The sequence below is a fragment of the Homo sapiens genome, chromosome 10, assembly GCF_000001405.40.
Source record: "Homo sapiens chromosome 10, GRCh38.p14 Primary Assembly".
NCBI lineage: Eukaryota > Metazoa > Chordata > Mammalia > Primates > Hominidae > Homo > Homo sapiens.
In genome coordinates this window covers 14,741,682-14,763,211 of record NC_000010.11, presented here as the reverse complement: position 1 = coordinate 14,763,211, position 21,530 = coordinate 14,741,682, and the positions used below count along the sequence as shown (strand labels likewise).

Here is a 21,530-nt window from a genome sequence, read left to right as displayed (position 1 = left end):
CAGCTCACTGCAACCTCTGCCTCCCGGGTTCAAGCTACTCTCCTGCCTCAGCCTCCCGAGTAGCTGGGATTACAGGTGCCTGCCACCACACCCAGCTAAGTTTTGTATTATCAGTAGAGATGGGGTTTGCCATGTTGGCCAGGCTGGTCTTGAACGCCTGATCTCAGGGGATCCACCTCCCTCTGCCTCCCAAAGTGCTGGGATTATAGGCATGAGCCACCAAGCCTGGCCTCTGTCCTTTTAAATAGTAGCTCATTGCATGAATAAATTAACATATAGGAATACAACAGTACTCGAATGGCAAAGCCATCAAGTCTTCTAATCAAATGGGGGTAAAGGACCAAATGAGGTTCAAGATCCATCATGCTTCTGTAGAGGACTTGGTCATTTGAATGTGACATGTTCTTTTTGTGTGTGTGTGTGTGTGTGTGTGTGTGTGTGTGTGTGTGTGTGTGTGAGACAGAGTTTCACTCTGTCTCCCAGGCTGTAGTGCAGTGGCACAATCTTGGCTCACTGCAACCTCTGCCTCCCATGTTCGAGCTATTCTCCTGCCTCAGCCTTTCCAGTAGCTGAGATTACAGGTGTGTGCAACCATGCCCAGCTAATTTATGTACTTTTTAGTAGAGACAGGGTTTCACCATGTTGGCCAGGCTGGTCTCGAACTCCCGGCCTCAGGTGATCTGCCTGCCTCGGCCTCTTATACTTCATTTTGCAAAGGGAAAGATGCCGGTCAGTCACGTCTCTTGAATACTGTTGTTCTCACAAGTGAAAAAATGGTGTCCCAAGTCTCTTATGCTAATTCGCAAACCCTCTGGTTTAGGTTCCGCTAGCCTCCTGTGAAACACTGTAGCCCCCTCTGGGTGCAGGTTCCCGATTAGGGTCCTTCAGTGACTAACTAACCATCTGTGAGTGTAGTTGGCAAAACTGACTTTGCTTTCAAGTAGGAAAATAAGGAAGATAGTGCATGAACTTGGCTTTTGGTCATTGTTGGGTGAGGAGGGGATGCCCAATGGTGCTGTCACCATCCTGTGAGCATGAGAGCAGGAGCCTGCAAAGAAAAACAAACAATCTAGGGATGGCGGCAGAAGACAAGAAAGAACCTGGGTCTTCCATGATGCCATGGAACCACTCCAGGTGCAACTGCCCGTCCTTAGGGTAGAGATACTCAGAGTGTTTACACTACGGTATTTTAAAATAGCCCAAAGCTGTTACAACAAGTTTATGTTTTTCAAGGATAGACCTAACTACCCCTGGGAAGTCTCTAGGTGGCCTCACAGCGATCTCAAACTCAATGTGTTAAAAAATGAGCCATCGGCCCGGTGCGGTGGCGGATGCCTGTAATCTCAGCACATTGGGAAGCTGAGGTGGGCGGATCACTTGAGGCCAGGAGTTCAAGACCAGCCTGGCCAACATGGTGAAACCCCCCCCTCTACTAAAAATACAAAAATTAGCCAGGTGTGGTGGAGCACATCTGTGCTCCCAGCTACTTGAGAGGAAGGTGGGAGAATCGCTTGAATCTGGGAGGTGGAGGTTGCAGTGAGCTGAGATCGCACCACTGCACTCCAGCCTGGGTGACAGACCGAGACTGTCGCAAAAAGAAAAAAAAGAAAAAAGAGCTATCTCCCTTCCTAAACTTCCTCCTTGTATCATTAGCATGCTTTCAGTGGCAAAACCCAGAAAATCTTACTCAAACTAAATACTATGCAGACGTATTATCTCACTTATAAAAAGCCCCAATGTAGAGAAAATACTACACAGATGTATTATCTCACTTATAAAAAGCCTCAATGTGGAGAAAAAGTGTGTATAACTGTATGGGTACTTTTAACAATAAGCCACAGAAATGAGATAAATATTAAATGCTCTTTTAGCATTTATTATCTTATATTGCAAATGCTGATTTGTCTGGCTTCTTGCCTAACAACAAGCGACTCAAAGGCAAAACCAATGTTTGATTCTTCATAGCATCTTCAGCACATATTAGGCCCCCATGAAAGTTTGTTGCCCTAAGAAATGAATGAAGACTTTAACACTTTAAAGTTAGACTTCACACTTATTACTGAGTAAGCACAAAAGAAATAACCTGTTAAAGATTTTATTTGAAATTATGTGTTCCTGATTAAATTAATTACTTTTTTCTCATTAAACACCCTCTAGCTTAACGATATGTCTTTCTTTTTTTTTTTTTTTTTTTTTTTTTGAAACGGAGTCTTGCTCTGTCGCCCAGGCTGGAGTGCAGTGGCACGATCTCAGCTCACTGCAACCTTCGCCTCCCGGGTTCAAGCGATTCTCCTGCCTCAGTCTCTCGAGTAGCTGAAATTACAAGCATGTGCCACCATGCTGAGCTAATTTTTGTAGTTTTAGTAGAGACGGGGTTTCACCATGTTGACCAGGCTGGCCTCAAACTCCTGACCTCAAGTGATCCGCCCACCTGGAACTGTAATATATGTCTTTGGCTTTGCTCTCCAATTTAGACAGTAACCCATTAAGTGCAAGATTACATCCTTCATCCTTAAATCAGATAAACTAAAAACATCTTTTAGATATTGAGTTCTCTGCATATCAGAAAAAACCTCAACCAGATGGATCGTAAAGCTAAAATTGTGAAAAAACGTACATCTCTTCTTGGCAATATGCTTAATATAGTTTGGTGTCTCATTAATGTGACCAGTGCTATTTATATGCTTCTCCATGTGCTATTAATGTCGCAGAGAATAATAAGGTAAATGCATCTGTTTGTTTTCTTCTGTTCCTGATTCAGTGGTATCATTATTTATGTTATTAGTATTCTATATTTTCTCCTGTAATGCTTAAAGTTCTGTATAAGCAGTTGCTCTTTCTAATATAGTACTGCAGTCATAAAAGCGATTATCCTCATTTTGCAAACCGGAAAACTGGCACATCCAGAGGTTCGTTCTCTGCCGTGCAAGAAATTTCAGTGAGGGGCCAGGAAATGGGTGAAGAGGACAGCCAAAAGGAAACCATTCCCTCTAGCAGAGTTCACTTGAAAATAAAATTTTCTGAGTACTGTGTTTCAAATCTGAATAATACACAGTTCCTTCTTCAAGGGAAAAAAATTATCTTGGAACCTATTCTCCCACGTGGCCTTAAATTGTTTCTATCAAGTTCTAGAATAATGAATGGATCACAAAAATATTAGCAATGATAAACAAAGATGAAATAAGAATAGATGAAGGCTTGGCTAGGCACGGTGGCTCACGCCTGTAATCCCAGCACTTAGGGAGACCAAGGGGAGTGGATCACCTGAGGTCAGGAGTTTGAGACCAGCCCGGCCAACATGGTGGAACCCTGGCTCTACTAAAAATACATAAGTTAGCCGGACATGCTGGTGGGCACCTGTAGTCGCAGACACTCGGGAGGCTGAGACACAAGAATCACTTGTGTCCGGGAGGTGGAGGTTGCAGTGAACCGAGATCGCACTACTGCACTCCAACCTGCACAGCAGAGGTGAGACTCCATCTAAAAAAAAAGAAAAAAAAAGAAGGCTCTATACCATAAACACCTCCTCAATTTTGATTTTATTGGTTTATCCTTTAATTTATTCAATAAACATTCATTAAATGCCCTCTAGGTGCCAGGCATTGTTCTAGGTGCTAATCTTAATAGATAAAAAGACAAAATGACAGCGCCCCCATCCTCAAGTTCTTCATAGTCTAGTGGGAGAGTCAGACACAGAAACAAATATACAGCAGTGTCATTTGATAAGTGCGTCAACTGAGGTAAGCACCAAGTGCCTGGCAGCCCAGGAGAGGGCACCAGACCAGAAATGGGTGTTGGGGATGGCGCCAGGAAAGAATGGCAGAGAAGGGGCCAGAATAGTGGCTATATGAGCAGACAGTGTTGAAATGAAAATGCTTAAAGAACAAAGATTTAAAAAAAATAAAAGTCAGTCTGCTGGCACTGTTTGTTCTATACTTCTTTCACCTACGTGGGAATGCATGTCAGCAGCCCAGACCTTTGCTGCTTTTTATTTATTTATTTATTTATTTATTTATTTATTTATTTATTTTTTGAGACAGAGTTTCACTCTTGTTGCCCAGGCTGGAAGTGCAGTGGTGCGATCTCGGCTCACTGCAACCTCCACCTCCTGGGTTCAAGCGATTTCCTGCCTCAGCCTCTTGAGTAGCTGGGATTACAGTCATGCGCCACCACACCTGGCTAATTTTGTATTTTTAGTAGAGATGGGGTTTCTCCATGTTGGTCAGGCTGGTCTCGAACTCCCAACCTCAGGTGATCCACCTGCCTCGGCCTCCCAAAGTGCTGGGATTACAGGCATGAGCCTCTGTGCCTGGCTTTTTTTTTTTTTTTTTTTTTTTTCTGAGAGGGTCTTGCTTTGTTGCCCAGGCTGGAGTACAGTGGTGACCCTAGCTCACTTTAGCCTGCAACTGCTGACCTCAAGTGATCCTCTCGCCTCAGCCTCCCAAAGTCCTGGGGTTGCAGGTGTGCCAGCACTCGCGGCCTCAGACTTTTAACTTAAGATGAATATTTCACACTCCTGGATTTCTCAGGGGCTGGCCTATTGGCACTCGCTCCAGACGGGGAGCCCGGCTGGGCATCTAGGGCCACCTGTGCCATGCTCTACTCCCACCCAGTGCAGAGGCTGTCAGGCCCTGCGCTGCTCTTGGATGCTCAGAATCACTTGGGGGAGTTTTTAAAAAGTTACTAATATTAATGCTAACACCCCAGAACTTGGTAGTTAATTGTTCGGAGATGGAACTATGGCACCCGTATTTTTAAAAACCTCCCTCTAGTAATTCTAACACGCAGCCAGAATTGGGAACCACTGAGCTACTTCATGGAGACCGAGGATTTGTGAAAGCCGGGCTCTGAGAACTGGCTGGCAGTATTTCCGTGAAATAGGCAATGAAATATCCTAGTCAGCATCATGCAACAGCTTCCGTTATCCTCGCAATTTTCTAAATTCCTTAAGGAAAACAGTTCCCACTACCAGGTGTGAAGGATTCCTGGCCATTGCTTTGTCAAGTCAGGGGCAGAACAAAGTAGGAAGGGAAAAGGAAGTTTCCATGACGTATTCACCGTTTTTAAATTACTCTTTCACAATCTGTAAGTGATGCCTTGTCAAATCTCCTTTGAAACTTAAAAATTGTTCTGCTTATGAGCGCTGCACAGAGACTTTTTTTCCCCTCCTATCTTGCAAAGAGAATTGGTGGCATCCTTCAAATATTCATCTCCAAAGCATAATTATATACTTGGCAACTAACTGGAGATCTTTCAAAACTTACCTTCAAGCTCCGTGACTTGTCCCTCCAAGAAAAAAACAGAAACAAAAACAAAAAACCCAACCAGATGGTTTTGTGAAGAGAATAAAGAAGAAAAATGGCAGAAGGGTTTTATCCTTCCTTCTCTAGAATGGATTCCAACCAAATGATTTCAACGGGAGATCTTGTTTTCCTTTTACCTTGGACGTTATGAGAAAAAGGCCCTGCCTGCTTTAAGAAATCCTCAAAGGTAACGTCTTTTCTTTAGCTGCTAGAGATTTCCTGCTTGGGCTTCACTATGTGACATTGCAGCCTTAAGGTCTCATTCACACCTCTCCAGCTGCCTGCGGAAGTCATCAGGCAGTGGTTTCTTGCATCACACAGACTGCCCTCTCAATCTCTCAACTTTCTGCAGGGAAATTTTGGATTCGCTCCGTCTGGCTCACTGAATAGTTTGTTAGCCAGGGTTCTTTCAAGAAACAGAACTGAGAGAGATAGAGAGAGAGAGAACACAGAACAGAGAGAGAGAGAGATACATTTTAAGGAGTTGATCCATGCAGTTATAGGGGCCGGCAAGTCCAACATTCACAGGACAGGTTAGCAGCCTGGAAACTCAGGCAGGATTGGACACTGCAGTCTTTTTTTTTTTTTTTCAGTCAGCAAAAATATTTATTGTGAATCTATTATTTGCTAAGAAACATTGACTATATTAGGTACATAGGATGCATTAAACAAAATTCCCAACCCTAGAGCAACTTGTATGGTTTTTGTTTGGTTGGTTTTAAAAAATGTTTTATTATTTATTTATTTTAACTTTTAAGTTTAGGGTTACAAGTGCAGATTTGGTGTTACATATGTAAACTTGTGTCATGGGGGTTTGTTGTAGAGACTATTTTATCATCCAGGTATTAAGCCTAGTACCCATTAGTTATTTTTCCTGATCCTCTCCCTGCTCCACCCTCCAAAAGGCCCCAGTGTGTGTTGTTCCCCTCTGTGTGTCTATGTGTTCTCATCATTTAGCTCCCACTTATAAGTAAGAACACACGATATTTGGTTTTCTGTTCTTGTGTTAGTTTGCTAAGAATGATGGCCTCCAGTTCCATCCATGTCCCTGCAAATGACATGATCTCGTTTCTTTTTATGGCTGCATAGTAATCCATGGTGCATATATACCACATTTTCTTATCTAGTCTATCATTGATGGGCATTTAGGTTGATTTCATGTCTTTGCTATTGTGAGCAGTGTTGCAATAAACATACGCATGCATGCCTTTATGGTAGAACAATTTGTATTCCTTTGGGTGTATACCCGGTAATGGGATTGCTGGGTTAAATGGTATTTCTGTCTTTAAGTCTTTGAAGAATCACCACACTGTCCTCCACAATGGCTGAACTAATTTACACACCCACCATCAGTGGATAAGCATTCCCTTTTCTCCACAACCTCGCTGGATGCTGCAGTCTTGAGGCAGAATCCTTTTTTGTTGGGAAACCCCAGTCTTTCTTCTTAAAGCCATTGAATGATTGGATGAGGCCCACCCACACGATCAAGGCTTTATTTAAAGTCAGCTGATTGTAGATGTTAACCATATCTACAAAATACTTTCACAGCTACTCCTGGATTCGTGTTTGATTAAATACCTAGGTACTGTGCCCTAGCCAAATTGACACCCAAGACTATCACAAAGAGTTTGATGAAGAGAATTAATTTATTAATATTTTCATCAATTTGTAGAATAATGAATGGGCCACAGAAATATTCACAATATTAAACAGATTAAGTGAGAAGAATATATGAAGGCACTATACCATAAAGCTCCCCCTGATTTTGATTTTATTGATCCATCCTTTAATTTGTTCAATAAACATTTATTAAGCTCTTCCTATGTGCCAGGGCCTGCTCTAGGTGCCAATCATAATAGATAAAAAGGAAAAAAAGAGCCCCTGCCCTTAAATTTTTCACAGTCTGGTGGGACAGTCAGACACATAAACAAATATATAGTAGTGTATATTTATTGGGTTTTGGAGTCAGAAAAGCCTGAGCTTTAGTCCCCCACCAACGTGCTCAATGGATATTGAGCTCATCTCTTAAACTTTCAGAGTAAAATTTACTCTTCTGAAAATTTGGGGATGGGGTGTAGATAAGAAGTTTCTAAGGCAATGATGTCACATTTGTCTCTAAAATTTGGAGCCTTTCATGATAATTCAGTGTCCTGAGTTCTTTCCTCATCATCTTAAAGATATAAACACCTTGTGATTATGGATTTTGTGCTGAGTTTCGTTTCGGTGAGTGAAAAGGTGTTCTCTGGAGAAGGATGGATGAAAAAGGAATCAATGGTGAGATTTCTAGAGAGAATAGTTACAAGGGAATTGATTGACAGGATTAAATTGAGGATGATGGTGTGTAGCATGGTGTCTACAGAGCCTTTGCCTGGGGAATCTTACTTTCTTTTCTTTTTTCTTTTTTTTTTTTTTGAGACAGAATCTCACACAACCTCTGCCTCCCAGGTTCAAGCAATTCTCCCATCTCAGCCTCCTGAGTAGCTGGGATTACAGGCACCCACCATCATGCCCAGCTAATTTTTGTATTTTTGTAGAGATGGGGTTTCACCATGTTGGCCAGGTTGGTCTTGAACTCCTGACCTCAGGTGGGGAATCTTACTTTTGATTCTATGGCTGGTAGTTCTACTCTCCTATACCCAACCCTGGCCTGCTACCTAATGGGACTTGTTCATGCTCAAAATAGATTTCTCCAGGACCCTTGAATTATTTTAAGTTTCATTTAGACCATGGTTGGTGTTAAATACTCCACAGAAGTGTCAAGTCATGAAACTACTATGTTTATGACTTGGCTCAACTGGTTGGTTTTTAAGTTTCTATTCATCTAAAATATGCTTTTCTCTGGCAATGAAAATATTGTCAGGTAAATTAAACTGCCATTAAAGCAGCTCTTGACTCAATTCCTGGCCCTGGTAAGCAGAGATGACCTCAGAAACGCAGTTAGGAATCAAATCCAAGCTTGGTGTTAAGAACTACTTTTCATTTTCCCCAGGTCTGTATTTTATCTTTGACTTGATAATTTTAAAAGGAAAGATGTTTGTGAATATTCAGGATGTAATGGATTGCAATAAGGAAAATAAAATTATCCGTATGGTTGCAGAAACACAGCAGATGTGCTGTACCTATCAAGGTGCATCTGCATCTTACAGGCACAAATCACAGCTCAAACGACTAAGAAAAGTACAGCTTCTGTTACTGAAAAGGCCAGAGTCAGGGCAGGCATCACAGTGGCTTGATGCAGTGGCTCAAAGATGGCACCGAAGACCAGCTCCTTCCACGTGGCCTCTGCTTTTCACGATGTCAGCTCCCTTTAGAAGCTGACTCCCCTCTTGCTGGCCACATGGCTGCCAGTAGTTCTGAGGGTTTTAGATCATCACATCCTCGTTCAGCTGGAAGAGAGAGATGAGCAGGGAGAGGGCACATTCCTTTTCCAACCATAGAAAAACTCATGGACTTTCTTCTGTTGTCCTCGTGTTTAAGGGATAAGACCACTCTGCTTGGATTAGTCAAGTCAGGTCTCACCTCTGGAGCTGGGAGTGACGAAGTCTTTCCCATAGCACATTGCCATTCAGCAGGACAGGGGCACCGTGGACTCAGAAGAGGCTCCACGACCCCTGCAGATGCATTTCACAAATTATTTGGATTCATTTTCCCTTTAAGAATTTTCACTGGTGGCCGGGCAAGGTGGCTCACGCCTGTAATCCTAGCAATTTGGGAGGCTGACACGGGTGGATCACCTGAGGTCAGGAGTTTGAGACCAGTCTGGCCAACATGGCAAAACCCTGTCCCTACCAAAAATACAAAAATTAGCCAGGCATGGTGGCACATGCCTGTAATCCCAGCTGCTAGGGAGGATGAGTGGGGAGAATCGCTTGAACCCAGGAGGCAGGAGTTGCAGTGAGCTGAGATGGTGCCACTGCACTCCAGCCTGGGTGACAGCAAGACTTTGTCTCAAAAAAAAAAAAAAAAGAAAAAAAAGACTTTTCATCTATGATATAAAAAATTGGTTAGTTGGATTCAAGATTTTTTTTTTAGCCATAGTATTTGTTATATTTTATATAGGTGGGGGGAAGATGTTGAAATTTGGGGAAACAAATCATAAAATACTTTCTCTGGTTACTAAAATGGAAATGTTAAGCATATTTTCTTCTCTTCTTTGAGAAACAGTAAAATTTATCATTCTCATGGAAGAACAGATGTGAAGTAAAAAATTGAAGTAAACAAAAGTCAGTCATGGAAACATTTACCCTTAACTTTTTATTTCATTCCTTTCCCCTTATTTCCTTCCCAACCATCTACACACAACAAACATAATGGATCTGAGGAAAACTGAAAAAGATGAGCTCGATTTCACTTTGGGAGTTAACTAAGCACCAGATAATTACACTGGTGCTCTCTGGTAAAATCTAGAAGTTCTTCCTGTATATTGTGAATTTCACTTGAGCATCAGCAAGTTTGAGGAAGACCTCCCATGATGAAGGTGTTGGGATAGAGAGGGAGAGCTTGGTTTTTAATCTAATCTTCACGGCTTTGATGTAACGGGGTTTTAAGCTCCCATCCATCACTCCTTGTCACCATTGCTATCCTGGTTAGGAGCCAGTGGCAGAGCTTGGGTTGTTGGGAAAAGGGTGATCATAAAAACTTTTTATGTGTGTATTGATATGTATGTGTGTTTCTGAGTGTATACCTTTGTGTGCAGTGTGAACATGCGTGTGTGCTCTGCCTGTGTTTCTGTGTGTTGTGTTTGTGTCTGTGTGTGTCTACACACTGACAACTACGATCACTCTTTTTACCATCTTTTTGGTAATGCCATAAATAGCTTTTGAGCTAGAAACTTTAGAGGGTCAGCTTTGTACTTTGGGAACACTGATACTTTATTAAAATTATACTTAGTGGATAAAATTACTCAGTCTTGGCATTTCTCTTATACAATGTGCTATTTGAATGGCTAAGCTTTTATGAGTCATTTTTTTTTTTTTTGAGACAGGGTCTTGCTCTGTTGCCCAAGCTGGAGTACAGTGGTGTGATCACAGCTCACTGTAGCCTCAACCTCCTTGGCTAAAGCAGTCCTCTGGCCTCAGCCTCCAAAGTAGCTGGGACCACAGGCATGTGCCACCACACCCGGCTAATTTTTGTATTTTTTGTAGAGATGGGGTCTCGCCACATTGCCCAGGCTGGTCTTGAACTCCTGTGGCTCAGCAAGCCACCTGGCTCCATCTCCCAAACTGCTGGGATTACAGGTGTGAACCACCAAACCTGGCCAGCTTTTATGAGTCTGATGCATTCATCTTATAGTCGCCAACAGATTCTTTCCCACACAGAGGTCCCACATACACGATGCGATTAAACTCCACAGCGTGGTTCACTTACATCAGGATTGACAGTTTGCGTCCTATACTAAAACTCTTCTTATTCACAACCGAGGTTTACTAGAACCTATATGTCTTTGTATCTGGACTACCTCCCAGAAAAGAAGCAAAACACTCGTCTGAATGTTTTGCTGGTAGAATGGGATAGGGAAACCTCTCAGGGTACAGGATCGAGAAACTGCAAAGCTGGATGCCTTCCAGGCACTCTGTCCTTCCTCCCTGGAGGGAGGCTCAGAGATGATCACACTGCAAAGAGGTGAGTGAGGGGCAAAAGGGGAGAAGCCCTCAAGTCAGGGAGATTGGTTGAGTCCCTTTTTCCAGGCTTCACTTTCCAGGCTGAGCACAAACAGGAAGGATGGATTGCCTGTCTCTCTGGCCACAGCCCATGGCTTAGGCTCCCTGCGGGAGTCTGCTGCCTCAGCAGATGGGATATTGGGAAACCAACAGGCTGGGAGTGACATCAGTCTGAAATGGAAAAAAATCCTCCTTGGCCCAGTAAATATCACAATAGGGAAACCAGTGGGTATTTCAAAAACACCAGAAACCCAGAGCAAGGGAGGTGCCATGGATTAAACCTATTTTCTGATTCCCTTCATTCATTTTGCAAACTTCTCACCTTCCCAGCCATTTGGGAAACTCACTGGTCTTGTTCCCAGCCCTTTACCTCCTTTGGAGGCGGAAGTGGAAGCCCAGGCCTGGGCTTCAGTCTCGGTGCGTTACAACCTTCTCTCAGCAGCCTGGCACTTCCTCAAGCTCTTGGCCCTGCAGCTCTTGCGGAACACAGAGTCAACTCTAGAAGCAGCTGTGTAGGGTCGATAGATCTCTGGGGATCCCAGGACTCCTCACAGTTTTTTCAAATAATTTCCTTATAAGGAGGCCGGGAGTAGTGGCTCACGGCTGTAATTTCCATCACTTTGGGAAGCTGAGTTGGAGGATCGCTTTAGCCCAGGAGGTAAAGGCTGTAATGAGCTCTGATCACATCACTGCACTCCAGCCTGGGTGACAGAGCTGGACCCTGTCTCTAAGAAAAAAAAGAAAAAAATCCCATATAAGTTCACTCTATTCAACTTGTCTTCCCTGGGAGCTCTGCCCAGTGCTTCGAACAGCCTAGGTTTTCAGACTCCCCTTCTCAGTGGTGGTTTCCCAGCTGGACTGTTCTGCTCACAAAAGCAAGCACAGGCCATGCTGTATGGTCCAAGCACACTTAGCTCCTGGCAGGACAAGGGCTGTGTATGAGAAATTGTACAAACATCAAACATTTTCCCAAAACGTCCTCTCGTTTTAATAATGAAGAGTTGCATTGGAAACCCATGTGTGCATCCTCCTTGGGGAGGCTGGGGTGGGGTCTTTGTGTCTGGATTCCGCCGCTCCCCTGGGACCCTAATGAGGAAGGGAGGCAGCAGATGTGCAGAGCCCATCTGCCCAGCTGGGGCCCATGTGCTTCCTCCTCATTACCTAGCGGATGTCAACAGCACATGGGGCCAGGCCCCTCCCAGATGTGCCACCATGGAAACCATGCCTTGGGCAGGTCTGCTCCTGATTGCTGAACTGGAACAAGAGTGAAAAAGCTGGAGGCCAAGCTCCCCCATCGTGCCCACCCCTGATTCCTCATGGTACCCTGAGGGGTGTCCAGCATCTGCCCATGCACCCCACAGCCTTCAGGTCCCCACTCTGTCCCATCCCTCTCCAAGAAGCCACCCTTGGAGCCCCCTTCCCGTCTAGAAGCATGCACCACCCAGGTAATTTTTAAAATTTTTTTGTAGAGACAGCATCTCACTGTGTTACCCAAGCTGGTCTCAAACTCCTAGGCTCAAGCAATTCCCCCATCTCAGCCTCCCAGAGTGCCAGGGTTACAGGCATGAGCCACATATCCAACTGAGACTAGAACGGTGTTGCCTTTGATAGCTTTGCAGTGCTATTTTATTGTTTTTGAGACAGAGTCTCACTCTGTTGCCCAGGCTGGAGTGCAGTGGCGTGATCTCAGCTCACTGCAACCTCCCCCTCCCGGGTTCAAGCGATTCTCCCGCCTCAGGCTCCCGAGTAGCTGGGATTACAGGTGTGCACCATCCCGCCCAGCTAATTTTTGTATTTTTAATAGAGACAGGGTTTCACCATGTTGGCCAGGCTGGTCTTGAACTCCCGACCTCAAATGATCCACCCACCTTGCTCTCCCAAAGTGCTGGGATTACAGGCTTGAGCCACCATGCTCGGCTTGCAGTGCTTTAAAAAAATGCTTTTCTAGGGAGTTCTATGTTTATGTCTTTCCGTTACGATGTGGCTCCCCTGGTTTCCAAAGACACCCCATGCCCCAAGTCTTGGCTTTAGCCACAGGCAGTTGTCTCTGGGGATACCTTTAGAAGACGCTTGTGGGTGAGAGCAATTCTTCTTCCATAAGAAAGCCTTGAGGATGCTACCAATGGGTTTTCATCCTGGCTTTGCCTCCATATTGTTCTTCTGGCCCAGGGTGATTTTTTCCTGGTGCCCTCCTCGCTGGAGCTGTTCGCTTCCAACTTCCGGAGTTCCCAGGTGCCTTAGGCCCCACCCCCTCGCTCTTCAAGATGGCCTCTGAGGTGCCTCCTGCATGGCAGCCTTCCTGGCGTTCCCAGGTGGGATTAGACCTATCTTTCCTTCCCTGTTTCTGACCTTAGGTTTCATTCTCTCAAGAACTCTTTGTGGACGTGCTAGTGGCTCTCATGACCCCTCCATAACACATTTGTGTTGGCATAATGTGGTTTTGGAACTGTGCCTTTTCTCAAAAGACATGGTTGCTGGCAATTTTAGGGACTTCAGCGGGATGGTAGGGAGGATGGTGCCCCTGCTCCCTGGGATGGAAGAGGGCAATGGGGAGAGATGGTCCAGATAGAGGGATATGGAATAAGCAGCTCCTGGGCTGCTGGCTCGGTTCCCATCTCTGCGAAGGCCTCGCTGTGGCTGGGATGTGAACTTTGGTCATGACTTGGTTCTAGTAAGGCTGTTACATTATTCATTTGACCAGGGAGAAAGGGTGCTAGGGCCAGGGGAAATTATTATATAATGAAGTATGTGTTTTAGTAAATGGATGAACTCACATTCTAGCTTTGATATGCTGAGTAGATTTTAGCCAGGAAGAAGGAACAAGGCACTGCCAGATTGATTGAGAGGGGGAAGGGGAAGGAGGACCTCACTGGTGGGGCGGAGCTGACAGTGCATTAGGTCACACGGAGGGCACAGCCTTCCATCCGGCAGTCACCCCTCAGAGTCTCAATCAGGCCCTGGATCCTCAGACAAGCTGGCTTTTAAGAGTCTGGCAGATCACACAGTCTGGGTTTTTGTTTCTTCTAAGTGGCATTGTTTCCTGGCTTATAAACATAGCCTTTCCACCTTGGCAATTCATCCCTTCCGGAAAGGGTGGCTGGCACTAAGCTCCAGCCTCTCGCAGCCCTTGGATTGTCTCATCTGGTGCTGAACTCCGAGCACACCAGAGAACACAGAGGCTTGGGCTCTACGAGAAGCATTCTGGCTCTTTTTCTTATTTTAAAGGAAAGTTACTCTAGATCCCAAAGGTATAATCAGATCTATTCTTACACCCTGCTTTGAGGAAGAAGTGGGTAAAATCCAGGCCAGTGGGCGCTTAAGCAAGGAGGCCACATGGTCCCTCTGGGGGTTGCTCAGGCCTTGAGGGCCCTGGAATTTTACCTGGTTTTCGTTGTGCTACATCTTGGTGACAAGCTGTACCTTCAAAACCTCTCGGTATTAGTCAGGGTTTGTAGTTGCAAGCAATAGAAATGGAGTCACCAGGACACTGGAGAATTAGGCTCTGGGCTGACATCCAGGGACCACACCCCAGACTGCTGCAGACCCAGCCTGGTGACCGCTCTGCTGCAACTTTGACCTCAGAGGCTGCAGCCTGGTCCTCTGATTCTGCTGGCTGGCAACACCAGACCACTGTTGTCGGGCCAAGAATGCAAATTTGCTTAGTGGCCACTGTTTCCAGTTCTTCTACTTTAAGCTGCTAGCTTCCCATTCAGTCTTGGGGTGGGGACATACCTCAGATTGTAAGAAGTCAGGTCAGAGCTAATGCCACAGATACAGGAAAGATGGGACTAGTTAGCTACTGATATCATCAGCATCTAGATTGGGAGGTAGGCTCTGCTTCCTCCTGAAACTCAAAGCGAGGAATTCCATAGACATAGAAGGAAAGTTCAGATACTAGGTGGCCAAAAAGAATGACAGATGTCCACTACCCTCTATTAGAGCTGACCTTGACCCCCATGTGCTGCTTCCCAACTTGAGGACATTCACTCATTCTTTCAACGTACATTTATTGAGCACTTATTACAAGCCAGGCACTGTGATTACTTCTGAAAATATAGAGATAGAAGAAATGACTTTCTTCTTAAGTAGCCCACAATCTAGTTGCTAAAATAGACAAGTAAACAAAATTAGAATGGTACAGTAAGTGCTTTGATAGAAGTATGCACTGAGCCACCTCATCAGAGGAGGCAACACATAAATTGAATCTTGAAGGATAATTGGGAATTGCCAGGGCAAAGGAGGGTGAGTGTGTTTCAGGAAGAAGAACTTCACTGTAGCTGCATGTGGTTGCAAGGAACTTGGTGGGCTGGGGATGGAGGGACAGGCAGAGATGGATCATAAGAGCTTTGCATGGCTTGCTGAGGAGTTTGAATTTTATTCTGAAGATTATGAAGACTCTTTGGGGTACAGTGCACCCCCTCCACCAAGGGGCAGCCAGAGTGCTTCATTAATTGGGTCCCAGATCCTGTGCCTCCTGACTGGGTGAGACACCCCCAACAGGGGTTGCCAGATACCTTATACAGGAGTGTTCCTGCTGGCATTAGCTTGGTGCCTCTCTGAGACAGAGATCCCAGAGGAAGGAGCAGGCAGCCATCTTTGTGGTTCTGCAGCCTCCACTGGTGACACCTCCAGGTGTGGGAGGAACCCAGATGCATAGGATCTGGAGTGGACCCCCAGCAAACTGCAGCCACCCTATGGAAGAGGGGCCTGAATGGTAAAAGAAAAACAAACAGAAAGCAACAACAACAACAACAGCATCAACAAAAAAATCCTTACAAAACTCCATCCAAAAGCCAGCAGCCACACAGATTGAAGCTAGATAAACTCACAAAGATGAGAAAGAAGCAATAAAAAATACTGAAAACTCAAAAATGAGAGTGCCTCTTCTCCAAATGATCACAACACATCTCCAACAAGAGCACAGAACTGGGCAGAGGCTGAGATGTATGAATTGACAGAAGTTGGCTTCAGAAGGCGAGTAATAATGAACTTTGCTGAGCTAAAGGAGCATGTTCTAACCCAATGCAAAGAAGCTAAGAACCACGATAAAATATTACAGGAGCTGTTAACCAGAATAACCAGTTTAGAGAGGAACATAAATGACCTGATGGAGCTGAGAAACGCAACACAAGACCATCATAATGCAACCACAAGTATCAATAGCCAAATTGATCAAGTAGAGGAAAGAATTTCAGAGCTTAAAGGCTATCTTGCTGAAATAAGACAGGCAGACACTATCAGAGAAAAAAGAATGAAAAGGAATGAACAACACCTCCAAGAATGATGGGATTATGTAAAAAGACCAAACCTACGACTGACTGGGGTACTTGAAAGAGACGGGGAGAATAGAACCAAGTTGGAAAACATACTTCAGGATATCATCCAGAACTTCCCCAACCTGACAAGATAGATCAACATTCAAATTCAGGAAATTCAGAGAACCCCAGTAAGATACTCCATGAGAAGATCAACCCTAAGACACACAGTCATCAGATTCTCCAAGGTTGATATGAAAGAAAAAATGTTAAGGACAGCCAGAGAGAAAGGTCAGGTCACCTACAAAGGGAAGCCCATCAGACTGACAGTGGACCTCTCAGTAGAAACCCAACAAGTCAAAAGACATTGGGGGTCAATATTCAACATTCTTAAAGAAAAGAATTTCCAACCCAGAATTTTATATCTGGCCAAACTAAGCTTCATAAGCAAAGGAGAAATAAAATCCTTTTCAGACAAGCAAATGCTGAGGAAATACATCACCACCAGGCCTGCCTTGCAAGAGCTCCTGAAGGAAGCACTAAATATGGAAAGGAAAAAGCATTACTAGCCACTGCAAAAACTCACTGAAATACAAAGAACAGTGACACTATGAAGCAACTACTCAACAAGTCTGCAAAATAACCAGCTAGCATGATGATGACAGGGTCAAATCCACACATACAATATTAACCTTAATTGTAAATGGACTAAATGCCCCAATTAAAAGACACAGAATGGCAAGCTGGCTAAAGAGTCAAAACCCATTGGTGTGCTGATTCAAGAGACCTATCTCACATGCAAAGACACACATAGGCTCAAAATAAAGGGATGGAGGAAAATTTATCAAGCAAATGACAACCAGAAAAAAGCAGGGTTGCAATTCTAGTTTCTGGCAAAACAGACTTTAAACTAACAAAGATCAAAAAAGACAAAGAAAGGCATTCATAATGGTGGTAAAGGGATCAACTCAACAAGAAGAGCTATCATATATATATATACACTCAATACAGGAGCACCCAGATTCATAAAACAAGTTCTTAGTGACCTACAAAGAGACTTAGACTCCTACGCAATAATAATGGGACACTTTAACACCCCACTGTCAATATTAGGCAGATCATTGAGACAGAAAATTAACAAGGTTATTCAGAACCTGAACTCAGCTCTGGATTAAGTGGACTTGATATATATCTACAGAACTCTCCACTCAAAAAGAAGAGAATATACATTCTTCTCAGCAACACATGGCACTCACTAAAATCAACCACATAATTGGAAGTAAAATACTCCTCAGCAAATGCAAAATAACAGAGATAATAATAAACAGTCTCTCAGACCAAAGAGCAGACAAATTAGAACTCAAGATTAAGAAACTCACTCAAAACCACACAACTACATGGAAATCGAACAATTTGCTCCTGAATGACTCCTGGGTAAATAATGAAATTAAGGCAGAAATCAAGAAGGTCTTTGAAACCAATAAGAACAAAAAGACAATATACCAGAATTTCTGGGATGCAGCTAAAGTAGTGTTAAGAGAGAAATTTATAGAACTAAATGCCTACATCAAAAAGCTAGAAAGATCTCAAACTGACATCCTAACATCACAGCGAAAAGAACTAGAGAACCAAGAGCAAACAAACCCCAAAACTAGCAAAAGACAAGAAATAACCAAGACCAGAGAGGAACTGAAGGAGATAGAGACATGAAAAACCCTTCAAAAAATTAGCAAATCCAGGAGTTGGTTTTTTGAAAAAAAATAATGAAATAGACCACTAACTAGACTAACAAAGAAGAAAAGAGAGAAGAACCAAATAGACAATAAAAAATGATAAAGGGGATATCACCACTGACCCCACAGAAATGCAAACAACCATCAGAGAATCCTATAAACACCTCTATGCGAATGAACTGGAAAATCTAGAAGAAATTGATAAATTCCTGGACACATATATCCTCCCAAGACTGAACCAGGAAGAAGGCAAATCCCTGAATAGACCAATAACAAGTTCTGAAATTGAGGCAATAATAAATAGCCTACCAACCAAAAACAAAAATAAAAACAAACAAACAAAAACAAAAAACAAACAAAGAACTACCCAGGACCAGACAGTTTTACAGCTGAATTCTACCAGAGGTACAAAGAGGAGCTGTACCATTTCTCCTGAAACAATTCCAAACAATTGAAAACTTCAGGCCAATATCCCTGGTGAACATCAATGTAAAACTTCTCAATAAAATACTGGCAAACCAAATCCAGCAGCAGATCAAAAAGCTTGACCACCATGATCAAGTTGGCTTCATCCCTGGGATGCAAGGCTGGTTCAACATACACAAATCAATAAATGTAATTCATCACAAAAACAGAACTAAAGACAAAAACCACATGATTATCACAATAGACACAGAAAAGGCCTTCAAAAAAAGTCAACATCTCTTCATGTTAAAAACTCTCAATAAACTAGGTATTGATGGGACATACCTCAAAACACTAAGAGCCATTTATGACACCCACAGCCAATGTTATACTGAATGGGCAAAAGCTGGAAGCATTCCACTTGAAAACTGGCCCAAGACAAGGATGTCCTCTCTCACCATTCCTATTCAACATAGTATTGGAAGTTCTGGTCAGGGCAATCAGGCAAGAGAAAGAAATAAAGGTATTCAAATAGGAAGAGAGGAAGTCAAACTGTCTCTGTTTGCAGATGACATGATCCTATATCTAAAAAACCCCATTGTCTCCACCCAAATGCCCCTTAAGCTGATAAGCAACTTCATCAAAGTCTCAGGATACAAAATCAATGTGCAAAAATCACAAGCATTCCTATGCACCAACAATAGACAAGCAGAGAGCCAAATCATGAATGAACTCCCATTCACAATTGCTGCAAAAAGAATAAAATACCTAGGACTACAGCTAACAAGGGAAGGACCTCTTCAAGGAGAACTACAAACCACTGCCCAAAGAAATCAGAGAGAACACAAACAAATGGAAAAACATTCCATATTCATGGATAGGAAGAATCAATATTGTGAAAATGACCATACTGCCCAAAGTAATTTATAGATTCAGTGCTATTCTCATTAAACTACCATTGACATTCTTCACAGAATTAGAAAAAAATACTTTAAAATTCATATGGAACCAAAAAAGAGCCCATATAGCCAAGACAATCTAAGTGAAAAGAACAAAGCTGGAGGCATCATGCTACCTGACTTCAAACTATACTACAAGGCTACAGTAACCAAAACATCATGGTACTGGTACAAAAACAGACACATAGACCAATGGAACAGAATAGAGATCTCAGAAATAAGTCCACACATCTACAACCATCTGATCTTCAACAAACCTGACAAAAACAAGCAATGGGGAAATGATTTCCTATTTAATAAATGGTGCTGGGAGAACTGGCTAGCCATATGCAGAAAATTGAAACTGGATCCCCTTCCTTATATCTTATACAAACATTAACTCAAGATAGATTAAAGACTTAAATGTAAAACCCACAACTATGAAAACCCTAGAAGAAAATCTATGCAATACCATTTAGGACATAGGCACGGGCAAAGATTTCATGATGAAAACATCAAAAGCCATTGCAACGAAGGTGAAAATTAACAAATGGGATCTAATTAAAGAGCTTTTGCACAGCAAAAGAAACTATCATCAGAGCAAACAGACAACTTGCAGAATGGGAGAAAAAATTTGCAATCTATCCATCTGACAAAGCTATAATATCCAGAATCTACAAGGAACTTAAATTTACAAGAAAAAAACCATTAAAATGTGGGCAAAGGACATGAACAGACACGTCTCAAAAGAAGACATACATGCAGCCAACAAACATATGAAAAAAAGCTCAACATCATTGATCATTAGAGAAATGTAAATCAAAACCACAATGAGAGACCATCTAATGCCAGTGAAGGAACTGAGAAGGGTCAAATTAACAGAGGTGGGAAGAAAGCCAGAAGACTGAAAGCATACAGAAGAGAGAACTCAAAGAGGAAGTAGGAAGACCAAGAAACACAGAGATTAAAATGTGTGCATTTGATCTTGGTGGAAAGACGTCATTGGTGACCTTTGTGAGAGTTGTCGCAGTGGAGTGGTGGCCAGGAAGATTACAGTAAGTAAAGGAGAGAAGGAAAGTCAAATAGTGGAGATAAGAAGTGCAGAATATTCTTCAGGAAGCTTGATTATGAAAAAGAAGAAACAAGATAGGGCAGGAGCTAAGGGGAGATATTGAATCCACAGTGGAATTGCTAAAATATGAAATATGGCCATTACTACCTCTCCAGCATCTTCTTGCCAGGCAGATACTGGTCTTTGAATGCATGCAATCCACTGTCACTCTTGTCTTTCTCTCCCTTCATCTCAGCCAAGGAGGAAAAGAGAAATAACTCATCCAGCAGGCATTTCACGAATATTTAGTGAGTAGCTACCCTACCCCAGACACTGCTTTCAGTTCATCAGTGAACAAACAGACAGTGATTGCTGATCTCAGTAAGCCCACTGCAAGCAGCATTAATAATGTACTTTGTTAGCATCATCTGACATCAAAACATACACTGAGCCAGGTGTGGTGGCTCACACCTGTAATCCCAGCACTTTGGGAGGCAGAGGTGGGAGGACTGATTGAGACCAGAAGTTCGACACCAGCCTGGGCAACATAGTGAGACCCTTGCCTTTACAAAAAAAAAAAAAATGAGCTGGGTGTGGTGGCATGCACCTGTAGTCCCAACTACTCAGGAGGCCAAGGTGGGAGGACTGCTTGAGCCCAGGAGGTTGAGGCTACAGTGAGTTGGGTCATGATTTTGCCACTGCACTCCAGTCTGGGCCAGAGAGCAAGACCCTTTCTCAAAACAAAACAAAAAACAAACAAAAATCCCCAAACACCTGTGGAAATATTACCTGCAGCTAATTCTGTAGCACTTGTTAATTCATGGGCAAAATTTATTCAGAAAGTTAGGGAGTTGGCCGCACGCGGTGGCTCATGCCTGTAATCCCAGCACTTTGGGAGACCGAGGTGGGTGGATCACGAGGTCAGGAGATCGAGACCATCCTGGCTAACATGGGGTTTAGTAGAAACCCCGTCTCTACTAAAAATACAAAAAAATTAGCCTGGTGTGGGGGCGGGTGCCTGTGGAGGCTGAGGCAGGAGAATGGCGTGAACCCAGGAGGCGGAGCTTGCAGTGAGCCGAGATTGCACCACTGCACTCCAGCCTGGGCGACAGAGCGAGACTCCATCTCAAAAAAAAAAAAAAAAAAAAAAAGGGAGTTATGCATGGAAAGTCGAGGAGAGGAAGA

At 43.4% G+C, this 21,530-nt stretch overlaps 1 protein-coding gene across 2 annotated transcripts in view, besides 3 other annotated features; it reads left to right on the top strand.

Annotated features, from left to right (window-relative positions):
* The window catches only part of FAM107B (family with sequence similarity 107 member B), a 256,341-nt gene that overhangs the window by 11,686 nt on the left and 223,125 nt on the right, over positions 1-21,530 (top strand). The gene's annotated exons all lie outside the window — the stretch shown is intronic.
* Positions 10,830-11,747: an enhancer, noted in NCBI's record as "H3K27ac-H3K4me1 hESC enhancer chr10:14793464-14794381 (GRCh37/hg19 assembly coordinates)". NCBI's record gives its function as "activates a minimal SCP1, AML or CMV promoter by ChIP-STARR-seq in primed H9 embryonic stem cells {active_cell/tissue: H9 hESC(primed)}" and the evidence as "EXISTENCE:reporter gene assay evidence [ECO:0000049][PMID:30033119]".
* Positions 20,382-20,491: an enhancer, noted in NCBI's record as "active region_3084". NCBI's record gives its function as "activates an Ori minimal core promoter by ATAC-STARR-seq in GM12878 lymphoblastoid cells {active_cell/tissue: GM12878}" and the evidence as "EXISTENCE:reporter gene assay evidence [ECO:0000049][PMID:35858748]".
* Positions 20,552-20,601: an enhancer, noted in NCBI's record as "active region_3083". NCBI's record gives its function as "activates an Ori minimal core promoter by ATAC-STARR-seq in GM12878 lymphoblastoid cells {active_cell/tissue: GM12878}" and the evidence as "EXISTENCE:reporter gene assay evidence [ECO:0000049][PMID:35858748]".